This window comes from Homo sapiens, chromosome 2 (assembly GCF_000001405.40).
Source record: "Homo sapiens chromosome 2, GRCh38.p14 Primary Assembly".
In the NCBI taxonomy this organism is placed as follows: Eukaryota; Metazoa; Chordata; class Mammalia; order Primates; family Hominidae; genus Homo; species Homo sapiens.
The window spans coordinates 94,622,239-94,636,138 of NC_000002.12; the positions used below are offsets into that span (position 1 = coordinate 94,622,239).

General features: G+C 34.1%; 1 long non-coding RNA gene across 1 annotated transcript; it reads left to right on the plus strand.

Annotated features, from left to right (window-relative positions):
* The first annotated feature begins 377 nt into the window (after positions 1-377).
* Positions 378-13,319, plus strand: LOC107985916 (uncharacterized). The gene is made up of 3 exons (XR_001739599.1): positions 378-506; positions 3,350-3,389; positions 12,886-13,319. It is a non-coding gene; the product is annotated as an uncharacterized LOC107985916 (long non-coding RNA).
* Positions 13,320-13,900: the final 581 nt, after the last annotated feature.

The following is a 13,900-nucleotide window of genomic DNA, read 5'->3' on the forward strand; positions in this document are numbered from 1 at the left end:
CGCGAAGCAGGGGGCAGTGCAGTTGGGGAGACTCCCGCCTGCCTCTGGGGAGCCCACGGGGGAAGGCGCGGGCGGGGAAAGGCTCGGGCATGGGGGGCTGCAGGTGCCGAGCCCTGCCCCACAGCGAGGCGGCTGAGGCCCGGCAAGAATTCGAGCCTAGAGCGGGTGGGCCGGCAGTGATGCGGAACTCGGCGCATACTCCGCAGCGGCTGGCTCTGGGTGCTAAGCCCGTCACTGCCCAGGGCCTGTGGCGCCAGCCTGACCGCTCTGAGTGCAGGGCCGCCCTGCGTGTGCCGCGCGCAGCCTCAGTTCCCGCCTGTGCCTCTCCCTCCACACCTCCCCGCAAGCAGAGGGAGCAGGCTCCGGCCTTGGCCAGCCCACAGACGGGCTCCCACAGTGCAGCGGTGGGGCGAAGGGCTCCTCAAGCGCGGCCAGAGTGGACGTCCAGGCCGAGGAGACACGGAGAGCGAGCAAGGGCTGCCAGCACGCTGTCACTTCTTATTAAGGTACCTGCACTATATGTCAACTGGTGGAGTGCTATTTGAAGGTGATCTTAGATTAGTAACAAATGTGTATTGGATACTCTGGGGGAACCACTAGAATAGTTGAAAAAGAAAGTATGCTTTACATGTAATGAGTGACATTAGGTTTGATAATGGATTTTTAGATATAATATTAATACGAAAAGCTCTAGCTACAAAAGAAAAAATGATGTTAGAGTTTGTTAAATTTAAAATGGAATTTTCTGCTCTGTGAAAGACTCCAGAGAGTTAAAAGACAAGCCACAAACTAGAAGAAAATATCTGTAAACCATATATCTAATAAAGTATTGGTATCTAAACATACAAATAACTCTGAAAACTGAATAATAAGAAAGCAAACAAGCCAATTACAAATGTGCATAGAATCTGAAAAGACACTTCACCCCTGCCCCCGAAATACCCATGGCAACTGGCATATAAAAATATGCTCAACAGTATTTTTTTTCTTTAGAGAAACACAAATTAAAACAATTGTGATACTACCACACATTAGTTAGAATGGCTTAAATCCATGAACCGAAGTATTACAAATTCTGGTGAAAATGTAGAGCAATAGTAGCTGTTTGCTGAAGGGAATTTTAAAAATGGTACTGCACACTGGAAGACAGATTGGCAGTTTCTTACAAATCTAAATATCGTCTCACCACGCACTTCAGTTATCATTCTTCTACGTATTTATCCCAATGATGTGACAATTTATATCACATAAAAATGTGAGTGTTTATCAGAGCTCTTTTTTATAATTATCAAAAATGGACAGCAATTTACATGGCCTTAAACCTTAAATAAGTGAATTGATATACTAGTACATCCAGAAAAAAGAAATAAATATAAATCTACAGGAATAAATACATGAATATTCAATATTTATTGCTCTGTGAAAGAAATTAGTCAGCAAATGACTCGTATTATATATTGCTAAATATATGACATGGTAAAAAAGGCAAAACAATATAGTATAAAAGATTAGTGCTTCCAGAGGTGAGGGGAGAGGAGGTAGGGTTAAATATGTGAAGCATGAAAACAAATTTTTTACTGTACTGAAACTATTTTATATGATATTGTAATGGCGGACATAACATTATGCATTTCTCAGAATCCATAAGAGTTTTTGAGCTTGAGGAGGAAACATTAATTTATATAACTTTAAAAAAAACTATCCTTTAGGAAGTAGAGGGATTGCAAGATGGAATGCAGAGTGTGACAAAATATTATAACTGTATTGAAAATATATGAAACAACCTCACTGAGATGGGTGGGGAAAAATGCGTTGAAATAAGTAACTTCAGAAATGAGAGGAGACTGTAAAATTAAAGGTGAAAGGAAGTGTATACAAGCACAGTGCTCCAGTTAATAAAGTTGTTTCTCATGGAGGTATGGCGTAACATTTCTGACATCACTGTATATGTACACTGTGAATGAACAATTAAGAAAGTGAGTGATGAATGGTGGCTGGGAACAAGTAGAGGGTTATTCTTGATATTCTCCTCAAATTTCTTTAATTAATTAGTAAATGAATTAGCAAGTCCCTAATGGCCTTTAGAGTCTGCTGAAGGAGATGAATAAATAAACAGCTGACTATTAATAGCATAATATAATATGGTGTTTAATATAAACAAAGGGCTATGTGAGTGTGGACCAAGAGACTGTTATTTTCACCTTTTATCTAAAACCTTGTAAAAGTTGGCACTTCTACCTTACCTTAGATAGTAAGCAAGAGTTAGATAAGTTGAAATGACACATTTTTCATGCAGAAAATATTACACACGAAGGCATGGAGGTTCAAAATTTCCAGGTTATAGGGAAATTGCAGGTTGCTGAAAGGAATGCAGTATGATGCAAGATATTTGATGTTGGGCAAAAATAATTTTAACTTCTATTATACAGTCTGTGGAGAATGGGCAACATTGAGGGGTAACAGAAGCCTTTGTTACCCCATCTTTGAAAAATAAATAATAATAATTATCCCATTTAGATATTAAAGATAAAATAGGTTAGTGAATTGAAAGTATGCCATATAAATTCTGGCAAATAATATGTTCAAAATAAATTGTAACTTTGATTATTAAAACATATGTATACACACACGTACATATATGTATGTGTATATGTATGTGTATGTGTGTGTGTGTATAACAGAATTAATTGTATATCATAGTTGAAGTAAAAGAATAGGAAGAAAAAATACTTTAATGGGCCTCCAAATAGGACAAGACTATATACATATAGTCTTGCATATATATATATATATATATATATATATATATACACACACACACACACACACACATATAAATAAAATGTATCAATACACACACACACATATATTCTCAGTACATGGGGATAATCAGAAAGGTGGCTACAAAAATACAACCCTCTTAGTTTTATATAACCCTTTATAAATATATAAAACTAAGAGAAGAAAGAATGCCTTCTGAAGCACTGTAAACTAACCTAAGGGGGGTAAAGTCAGAGGATTTTACTATGTTGGGACTGAATTTATTAACATAGCTATAGAAAGAGTCTGTCAATGAAAGGAGAATTAGTTGCCTATGGAAACTGAGCTACAGATGAATCTTTAAGGCATAAATCTCTTTTCCACCTAAGTGGAAGTCCAATTCCTGAGGTAGGAAGTCTGGGCAAGTGAAATTGCCAATTAAGTTGGTAAGCCTTCCTACAATAAAAATAAATGCATCTGCACATTTATATTAGCTTGATGGTGTTAAATATTCTAATCATTGAACTTTATTTTTCTGATCTAATACATACCCAGCTATCATGTGACTACATTTTGTTTTCCCATACAGGTGTGCGTTTGGGTGGAAAGTATGTACTGTTTATGCTGAAGTAAGAATTTTATTTTATATAACATAGTTCTTGTTATAAATTAATAAACTAACATTCTGATTGTTTATAGTCATTGTGTGTTGAATCGGGTCTCCAAAATGAAATACTAATCCCAATACTTGTGAATGTGACCTTATTTGGAAATAGGTTATTGCAGATGTTATTTTGAAACAGGGTCATATTGAAATGGGATGGGCCCTAATTCAATGACTGGTTTCTTTATAAAGAAAGAAAATATGGACACAGAGAGACATAAAGAAATATAGGGAAGAAGGCCATGTAATGATGGAGGCAGACAGTGGGGTGATGCATGCACAAGTCAAAGAACACCAAAAATTGCTGGCAACCAACCAGAAACTAGAAGACACACGTGGAATGGACTTTAAGTCAGAACTTTTCAGAAGGAACCAATCTTGCCAACACCTTGATTTCAGGCTTCTAGCTTACAGAGCTGTGAGACAATAAATGTTTGTTTTTTTTTTTAAGCCACCTATATTGTGATACTTTGTTATGGCAGCCCTAGAAAGCTAATACAGTAGTCAAAAGGAAATAAATTATCTCCCTGTAGCCCAAAACTTTAAAATAATTTTTTTTTCCCAGAGGCCTTTTCTTTCATTTGTTGGTTTTGGTTTCTATACAATAGATCAAACATCTTCACTAATAGTTTTCTTAGACATTATTTTTGGAAACATTTGTCAAAGGACTCATGGAAATCTATAATCTATGCTGATTGACTACTTCGATGTAAAGAATTTGATATTTTTCATAGTTACTACTGGCTGTTGCTGTGCTATTCCTAATTGTCTTGAATGTTGTGTATGTAGCATGAAATCCCAATTTTTATTGAACTAGGATATACACATATAACTCTTCTATGGTTGTCTTCAAGCTGGAGCCTATTTGTTAGCACTGCAGGGCATCGTGTGTGTGTGTGTGTGTGTGTGTGTGTGTGTGTGTGTGTTGTAGAAGCTACTATATGAGAAATGTGGACATACGCCTTTAGTTCAATTCTTTAGCTGCTAACTAATTTAGAGTTCTTACTGTTGTTTTAGTCAGGAAATAATGAAATATATCGTCAATAAAAAGTTAAAGGAACAAGGTGAATCAGTCCAATGGGAGAATCTAAATCTTCCCAGGGATCTGTCCAAATCCATAAAAAGAGTACCAGTTGATAGGTAACAGCAGGGGATTAAAGACTGAAGCAGTTTGCTGCAGGCTATGAATGACCTGATCCCTTAATCCATCTGTCTTTTTATATAAGAATGTTATGCTAATTAGCTGAGTAAATTGTTTCCTGATGATATTAATTTAGTGCCTTTTTGTTATTCTAGGCTTTGACTTTCACTGTGACAAAAATATACGAAGGGGCATTTTCAATTTAGATGGTTCCTATCCTGATAAATTCCAACACAGCAATGTTGTGGGGGAAACATGTATAAATAGCAAACTTAATCAATCCCGAGGATAGACATAGATGACTTTAGCTTCCTATATAATCGTTCCCTTTAGCTTCTTAAAGCATTACATTAACACACTTGAAATGTTAAAACATAATTCAAGGAGAATTTTAGGAAATGCAATTTTCATTGCCCCATTTTCTTTGGAGAAAATCAAGACTTGAATTCATTAACATGGAGGAAGTAATGGAACAGATAGTCGTGATGTGAAAACTTATTAGTAAACAAGAGCTGCATCTGAAAAAATATTGTCATTAAAAGCTATGTAGTAGTTAATTGAGTTTGATATGAAATTTAGTGCTGGAAAGTTAATGACTAATGCAGCTATTTCACAGAGCTTGGTTACTGCAGGCTCCATAATGATCTCCTTCTGCTTTGGAGCAACAATGAAATTAACCTCTCTTTTGTCCTGCAGGTGTTGTGTTCTGATAATGCATATTCTTTACAACTTTGGGTAAATTATTTGCTTTGCATATAAATTAACTCCAAAGCTGAATCAATATTAGAATAATAAAAATGTAGAGAATATTTTTATTCCAAGGAAGCAAAGATTTATAGCAAAATATATCCAAATCCTAGATGCAATTTCAGGAGGATAGATTTAAAACTATTTATCATACTCCAAAAAGAAAAAGGAGAAAGAAAAAAGGAAAAATACATACAATTGAGAGAAAGGAGGAATGGTTTTGGAAAATACAATATTATGTTATTATTGTTACATTAGGGAGAAAATAATTGAGAATCGATACATTTGTTTTTCAGTATAAAAACAAAAAGATGGCACTTATTTAACAATTCTTAAGTGATACCTTCTGAGTTCCACTTTATTGGGTATGTATTGGTCCTAAGCTAAAATCTAATTTCAAAATATTACGTATTACAGCTGTAGTGTTGTCTCGGTCTGTTTTGTGTTGCTGTAACAGAACACCTGAGACTGGGTAATTTATAAAGAAAAAAGGTTTATTTAGCTTATGGTTCTGGTGGCTGGAAAGTCCAAGACTATGGCATTGGCATCTGTTGAGCTTCTGATGAGAGCCACATGCTATGTCACAGCAAGGCAGAGAAACAAAATGGAAATCAGGCAAAACATTGCTTAATAAAAGAGGCAACTTTCTTTAGAATGACTGGCTCTTATGAGAACTAATCCATTATCATGAAAAATAACCCAGTTTCACCAGAAAGTTATTAATTTGTCTTAATGACCTAATCACCTCTTCAAAGCAAGATCTCCTAACACCTTACATGGGAAATTAAATTTCGACATGAATTTTGGAGAGAATAACCCATGTCCAAACTATAGCAAGGGTAAAGACCCCAAATTTACTTAGACATGGGGATTAATAATCATGTGTCATTGCCAATAAACGTTTTCTTTCTTTTGCACTTCCAAAGAATTTTTTCACCACCTATTTTCCTCTATGTTTTTCTTTCTCTAGTATTTCTTTCTCTAAAAATTTGTGCTTGTGTAAATAATTTGCAAATGCAACTTTTTTCTTCTTTGAAATGATAGCTAAATTCAAATTACTTTTATCTCATTCAAAATTCAGAGAAAAATTCAGAAGTGACCTATTAGATGTTTGAGAATGTGCTATACTACATCAGGTGCACAAGTTCCTGTGAATAAGAAGCAAAAAAGCTAGCACTTTCCCTTCTTCTGTTTTTAAAGAATAAGCTTATCAATGGATATTGAGGAAAAAAACTACTGGTAATATTTAAATGGTAAAATGGGTATGGTAAAATAATATTATGAGCATTTTTTCAAGTAATACATTTTGAACTTTAAGTTTTATTCTGTTAATTTTATCTGTTTATAGGAATAATCCTGTTTTGTTCACTTCAGTATATTCACTATTCCTTTCCCTTACAGTCAAGCATTGGACATGACCTTGATATTGCTGGTGATTACCCATAGGGCTCAATGTTCATCTTTTGTTTCTAAATTCCAAAAGCAAAGTTGATTCTAAAGGATGATAATAATCATTAATAATTCATAGAATACCCATCTCCAAAACAGAATCAGGAATGCTATAGACAATAATAAGCACACGTTAAACCAACTGGGCACAGTGCCCAGAAAATCAGCCAAGTACACACAATAGGCAAGAAAAGAGCTTGTATGTGTGTGAGGAGAAATAAGAAAGGGAAAGCAATGCATAAAAGACTTCCAAACAGAACAACCAGGGAGTCAACAGATTTTCAAACTTTCACAGAAAACACAAATATTTTGAAGTCATTTCTGCTGGGTCTACTAACTGTCTTACAATGTGTGATAGCCATGAACCCCAATGGAAGAAGTAGAAGCAAATTGAGTATATTCTAAAAAATTCAAAATTTGTAGGCATATTAAGTTTTAGGTTTTACAAGCTTCCAAGTGGTGAATTACAAGACCACAATATAGGTGTAGGTTTATGGGCTTTTTTATTTGTGATGATGACTTAAACCAACCTTCTTTTTTCTATATGATTTGTTGAAATTAAAGCACTGTACATGTGATTATGACAAGGAACAAGGAGTCTCATGTATATGTTTTCTTATATTATAAAACAGCACCTGAACTTTTTCATGTCAGATCTCTGCTGGCAAATTAAAGGAGGAAAATACCCCCATGAACTGAAGAAACCTATGGAAGTTAGCTTATTGAAATGCTGCCAGAGGCTTCATTTAGAGGGGTTTTTATAGGTAGTAGGTCTAAAGGATACTAGCAAACAAAAAATGCTAACAACATTTTTTTCCCAAGGGAGAAGTACCCCACCAAATTTATTCCGTGTAGGCCTGAGGGTTGGATACTAATTTACTTACTATGTATTTATTATAAAACACTACTTAGGCAGGTGTGACCCAGCTATAATTGGCAAGAAACCAGGGATGTACATTTGCTTTTGTTATTATATCTAAACTAGAAGAAAACTAAATCCTTTAATAGGAATAAAAAGTTAACACAATGATTTAATTTAATTCTACTTAGTATAGATAACATTTGGTAGAGCTTCAGGAACTTACTATATATTTTAGCCCTTAATTTGTAATGAAGGCATTGACAGTATAAATCTTGGGATAAACTAGGTAAATAAATTACTTTTTTTGAATATGAATGTTCTTTTTTATTTATCCTGGAGTCATATTCAGTGAACTGAGAAATGCATTTTGTTAAACTGACACCTAGATTTCAGGGAGAATATACTCAAATGATAAAATATTTATATCAAGAAAATAACTTTTACTCCATGACATTATATTATTTATCAGATATGAATGTCATTAAAATTCATTTTCAAACTGTGTAAAAGAGAATGATTCCTATGCCAATGTTTTCTTACAGTGTGAAATCTTATATTGATAAAAGTACAATATTTATATATGAAATTTTGAAAAGCTTTGAGCATAAAGTTCTCAGTCACATCATAACATTTTCTCTGACAGTGTGTGTGTCTTAGGGTAGGGAAAGAGAGTGGTTGAATGTCCATATCTTACTAACTAAGATGGTATGCCCACTGTCTTAACAATTTACTTCCTGTATTGACTCGACTAATTAGGTTGCCATAACTTTATTTCTTAATTGTTAATATGTTGGGGAAATTATCAATAAGTATAGAAAATGACAAAGTTATTGTTTCTGAAAAACTATGAAAAAGAGGATAGCCTTACTTATGCAGAGCCTATTAAAAAGAGAGTACTTTTTCTTCTTAAAATGCATAGCTTGACCAGCTCCATTTAACACTGTTTTTTAAAAGATGTGTTAATATCCTAATGGTATAAATGAATTCAGTCATGACTAATTGAGTCAAAGAGATTTAAAAATTATTTGAACTGTTTTATCAAATTTCTAGCTCATTGTTTAGTGCTAGATATTCACAAAACAAATAGTTAAGTTCCTAAGATTATTGTTGCAAACTGTGGGAACTGAAAGTCTTTAATTACATTACTTTGAAAGCAAAAAGTGATTTCCACGCAAAATATTTTAAAGGATTTCTACCCAATGTCAAATTTTCTCATCTATTCATTTAATAAGCATTGATTAAATATCTGTTGTGTCTTAGTATAGATAACATTTGGTAGAGCTTCAGGAACTTACTATATATTTTAGCCCTTAATTTGTAATGAAGGCATTGACGGTATAAATCTTGGGATAAACTAGGTAAATAAATTACTTTTTTTTATATAAATGACGAATAACATTCTAAACTTCAGCAAGCATATGGTTGAACACTAAATAAAGAACAAAAACCAAGGTAATTACAGTAGAGTGTTTCAGTGATATATTACCACCAAGAACAGAGAGCTATAAAAATCACTGGAAGAACATCTAACTGAATCTTTGGGGAGTGAAGAAAAGCTTTCTTTGGAAAATAACCTCTAATCTGATATCTAAAGGACCAGTAGGAGTTATCCGTAAAAAGGAGAAAGAAAATTCCAGGTAGTTGAAATGGCTTGCTGAATTGCAAGGGCACAGATTACTAAAATGTTTAGTAATACTCATGGTAATTTTGTTTATAATTTTGAAACAGATATCATGTAGTCAACACAATAGGTCAAATCAGGACCTTTGGTACACATAACCCTTTTTCTGTAAGGTGTTGATAGGTATCATTTGAATAAAATTGGCGATATTTAGTGTTTATTGGTGTTTGGGAAAAACATGTGCTTCCTAAAATTTTAGCATATTTTCCTATATGATTTCTCATTAATAAATTAGTGCACAAAGCAAATATCCAGGAGGTGTTAATAGTAAGCAGTAATTTCCAAAATTGCGTGACCAAGAAACTTTTTACTCATAGAATAACTGAAATACTTTTCTCAGGAATATACTTTGAGAAACATTGCTTAAATACATGTGGAAAAAAAGTGTTCTAAATCCAAGTTCTTTATGATGGAGATTACTGAATCCAAGTGTTCTAAATCCAAGTTCTTTATGGTGGAGATTACTGAAAAAGTATGGGAGAAAATTACACATTTTGATAGAAAATCGTAAGAGTTGAATGGTGTTTGCCCAAAAGGTTTGTCCACCCAGAATCTCACAGTCTGACCTCATTCATAATAAGCATCTTTGAAGATGTAACAAGGTAATAAAGTGTGCTCATCCTCTATTACAATAAATTCTAAATCTAATGAGTGTCCTTATAAGAGATAGAATAACAGAAAGACACAGAAAAAAAGGCGGGGAGGCATGTGAAGACAGAATCAGAGAGATTGGAAAGACAAAAACCGCTAAGAATTGCTGGCAGCATGAAATGGGTTTTTTCTGGGTCTCCAGTGGAAATCAATACTGCCAACACATTGATTTGTCTTCTGGCCTCCAGACCTGTGAGAGAATCAATTTCTGTTGTTTTAAGTCATCAAGTTTGTTGTAATTTGTTATGACAACCCTGGAAACCTAATACAACAATGTGATGCTTTAGAACCAGTTGTATTCGAACAAATTTAAGCCTTAACTCATATTCTTACCAAACAGTCCCCAATGAATTATGGATGTCCCTTGATTTCATGTCCTTGAATTATCCTCCCAACCAGACAATAGATTAGCCTTGTGAATTAGTTGAGCCATGAGAATGCAGCTAAAGAGACACTGTATAAGTTTCAGTCCTAGGCTTAAGGAAGCTTTATAGCTTTTGTTTACTCTGTCTTTTACCTTGAGCCACTGTGCAAAGATGTCTAGGTTAGCGTCCTTGTGGATGAGACACCTTATGATGAAAAAGACCAGGAGGAATGAAAGACTGGGAAGATAGAGAGGAAGACCCAGTTTCTAGTCATTCCAGCACAACATATGAATGGGGCCAGCTAGGATCCTCCAGTCCCTATGGAGCTGCCTCTAAATACAAACATATTAAAGAGTCCAGCAGAAGACACCATCTAGGGAAGAGATGAGCCACCCAGCTGAGTTCAGCCCAGATTGAAGAATCATGAGCAGGTCCATCTGTGCTACTTAGCTGTTTTAAGCTGCTATGTTTAGACTGGTTTATTATGCAGCAATAGAAAGCTGTAACCATCTAATATGATTATCAAGTATGTGTTTTTAAAACAAAGACAAAAAAGATGAACAGATATAAGATTAGGTTGTGGGCTGTAGCAAAGGTGGATTTGACCTTTTTTTCAATTAAGAATTTTGATAATCTACCATACATTTTTAAATTCTTTCTTGCATTAACTTTATCTCTGGATAAAAAATTCAAGCCACCTGTAAGTAAATAGAAACAGTAGGCATAAATACACAAAAGGAAAGTTATATTAAAATTCTGCAGAAATGTAACAAGAATAAAAAAGCTGAACTGGATTTTTAGGATGTTCTACACTCAGCTTTTATGGGAAACAGACAAATGACAATCTCATGCCAAGGATTTGTTTTAAAAGGCTGTATAACAGGTAGACCATTGACTAACACATGTTTTACCACCTTTATCTTCAGAATACTGCAGACAAATGATATTCATAATGACTCTACATGATATTGAAATGGTATCTGAATATTAACAACTAAATTCTGACCAGTTGTGATTTAAAACATTTAGCTATTTATTGATTGTTATTTTTTTAAAAAACTTGGAATGTGCATTATATGTATATTTAACTATAAAGTCACTGAACATTTAATTAACATATGTCCTGTTTTTCAATCATTACTAGGAGTAATCTTTATAGAAATACAAGTAGCAACCATTACCACAAATGAATTCTCATAAGAAACAGTTATTCAAGTCTTTTTCTCTCTGTCTTTGTCAAACGCATGTGCGCGCGCACACACACACACACACACACACACACTTTGTTTGTATGCCTGTGGATTGTGAGAGAGTGAGAATGAGCCTGTAAATACAGAATTATATCAGAATTCTTGTAGCAAATAAGCTATCAGGAAAATTGAGCCAACTTAGTATTGGTCTTGTGAAGGACATTTTCTCTTTTCTGACCTAGTCTTTTCTATTAAGTGAAAGATGTCACACAATGACCACTCATCTATTTTTGATGGATACATGAATTGTACATTACATGGAAAGAAGAGAGAAAATAATCCTAATTTTATATAATGTACAGGTTAGAAAGCCTGATACAGACTAATATAAAATTAATGCTTTGAATAAATTTGTTTATACTATTGCTCTGTTAGAGTGTTGCTACTTTTGGTTTGTTTTTCAATTGTTTTTCCAATATGTATTTAGTTTGATTTTTAATAATCTTATCTCTCTCTTTTTTCTTTTCTTCTCCTTTACCTCTTGCTCCTCTTCCTTATTCTCCTTGCCTTCCTCCTCAGTCTCCTCATCCTCATCTTCCTCCTCATCCTCTTCTTTCTTTGTTTTCATTACAAAATAAGCAATCAGAAAAGTTCATACAGATATTGTTACTTATCTTTAGGGACCTGGATCTAACTTAGTGCTGTTGCTTCTGTTTCTTCTCTTTTGTCCTCCTCTTCTTTTTCTCCTTTGTGTTCTGTTTTACTTTTTAAAAATAGATGCCACAACTCTGATTTTTAATCTGATTGCGTAAATGATCCTTAATAGTAAAATCAATTTTAATATTTCTTATAAAACAGAAGCACAGCAAAGCATTTTGCAGAATTTATCATAAAGTAAATAATAACCATTCCTAGTATGATAATGCTGCAACTATTTTTCTTTCATCCTCTGCAACATTTTTATCTGACACAGTCTCTGCTGTTTCCAAGTTCAATGTCCTGCAGCAAGCCTTGCCAGCAATACAGAATACTTTCAATTAGTAGTTCTCTACTTCTCTGGTCGCTAAGCAACTGACCTGTGGTGAAGAATACATAATGATCTGCATAGACACCTTAGAGCAATAGAAAGTATAAGCTTCACAAGTTTCATTTGCTCTCTTGTGTTGATGTTACAATAACAGGTTAAATGCATGGAAATATTTGATAGTAGTTTGCTATAATAAACTTTAATAAAGATTAAAAGAAGCCTCGGAGAAAGGTAGAAATAAACACAACATAAAATATTGTATTTGTCATTTGTTCATGTATGTCATTTTATTGTTTATAGGGAGGGCAAGCAATCAGGTTAATATTTTATTAAATGTTTATATTCTAGCTACTGTTTAAGACAGAATTCATCAAGTAGCAGAAGTGATGGAAGGGCCAAGGGGAAGAAAGATGGACAAAACCTGAAAATTGAAAGTGCAATAAAATGAAAATTACAAATGAAAACCAGTATGCCTGAGATATACATGACTGTTTAGTAGAGTGTCTTCATGTGGGTTAAAGAAGAAAAGGAAATATCAGCTGGAATCAGCAGAACAGATTTAGCACTTGACCCTTGGATACTTTTCATTCTATTTATCTGTCATATTTTTATTGGTTTGTATTCCATTGACCACTATATGCACCGACCCTCAGCAAATTCATTCAATAGAGAGGAGAGATTATATCTCCACTGTATCAGTGGAGCTGTTTAGGAACGTTTCTCCCGCTTCTTGTATGTATTTTGTCCTATTTGTACATTGTATTTTATGAGCTGCTTTAGAATAGTAGAATAACTTTCCTTTATATGGTATAGAACTTTTAATATATCTCAAAGAAATTTTTAAAAAATGATCATTTGAAATGTATGTTCTCATACTGTATGTGCAAATATCAGTAGTACAAACACTAAGGATTAATGAAAATGAAAATCCTAATATATTAAACTTAGAAAAATAGACTAAATATTTACTGAAAAGAAACAGATAATCAAAATTTCGTGATACACAATGAAAAGCCTTGAGACATTAAAGAGGACTTTCACTGTCTTTGATGATGTCATCTTTTACATATTAAGTTCTTCTAGCATGGTAACTAGAACTAAACTTTTAACTTCCTTTTAAACCACACACTGAATGCATCTGTGAAAAAGACCTGCATACTACAAGATAACTTTAATTACATATCTTCTGTGGGGTCCGTGCTTTTAGTTTAGTATAGGTTTATGCAAAGTGATACTATTGGTAATGTGTAATTTAAACACACACACAAACTAACAGGCCCTGCCGCCTATCAATGTCTGGGTGATATCAGAGAAGGCCGTGTGGGAATCTAGAACTTTCTTCTCTACCAGGTAGTTACAATGT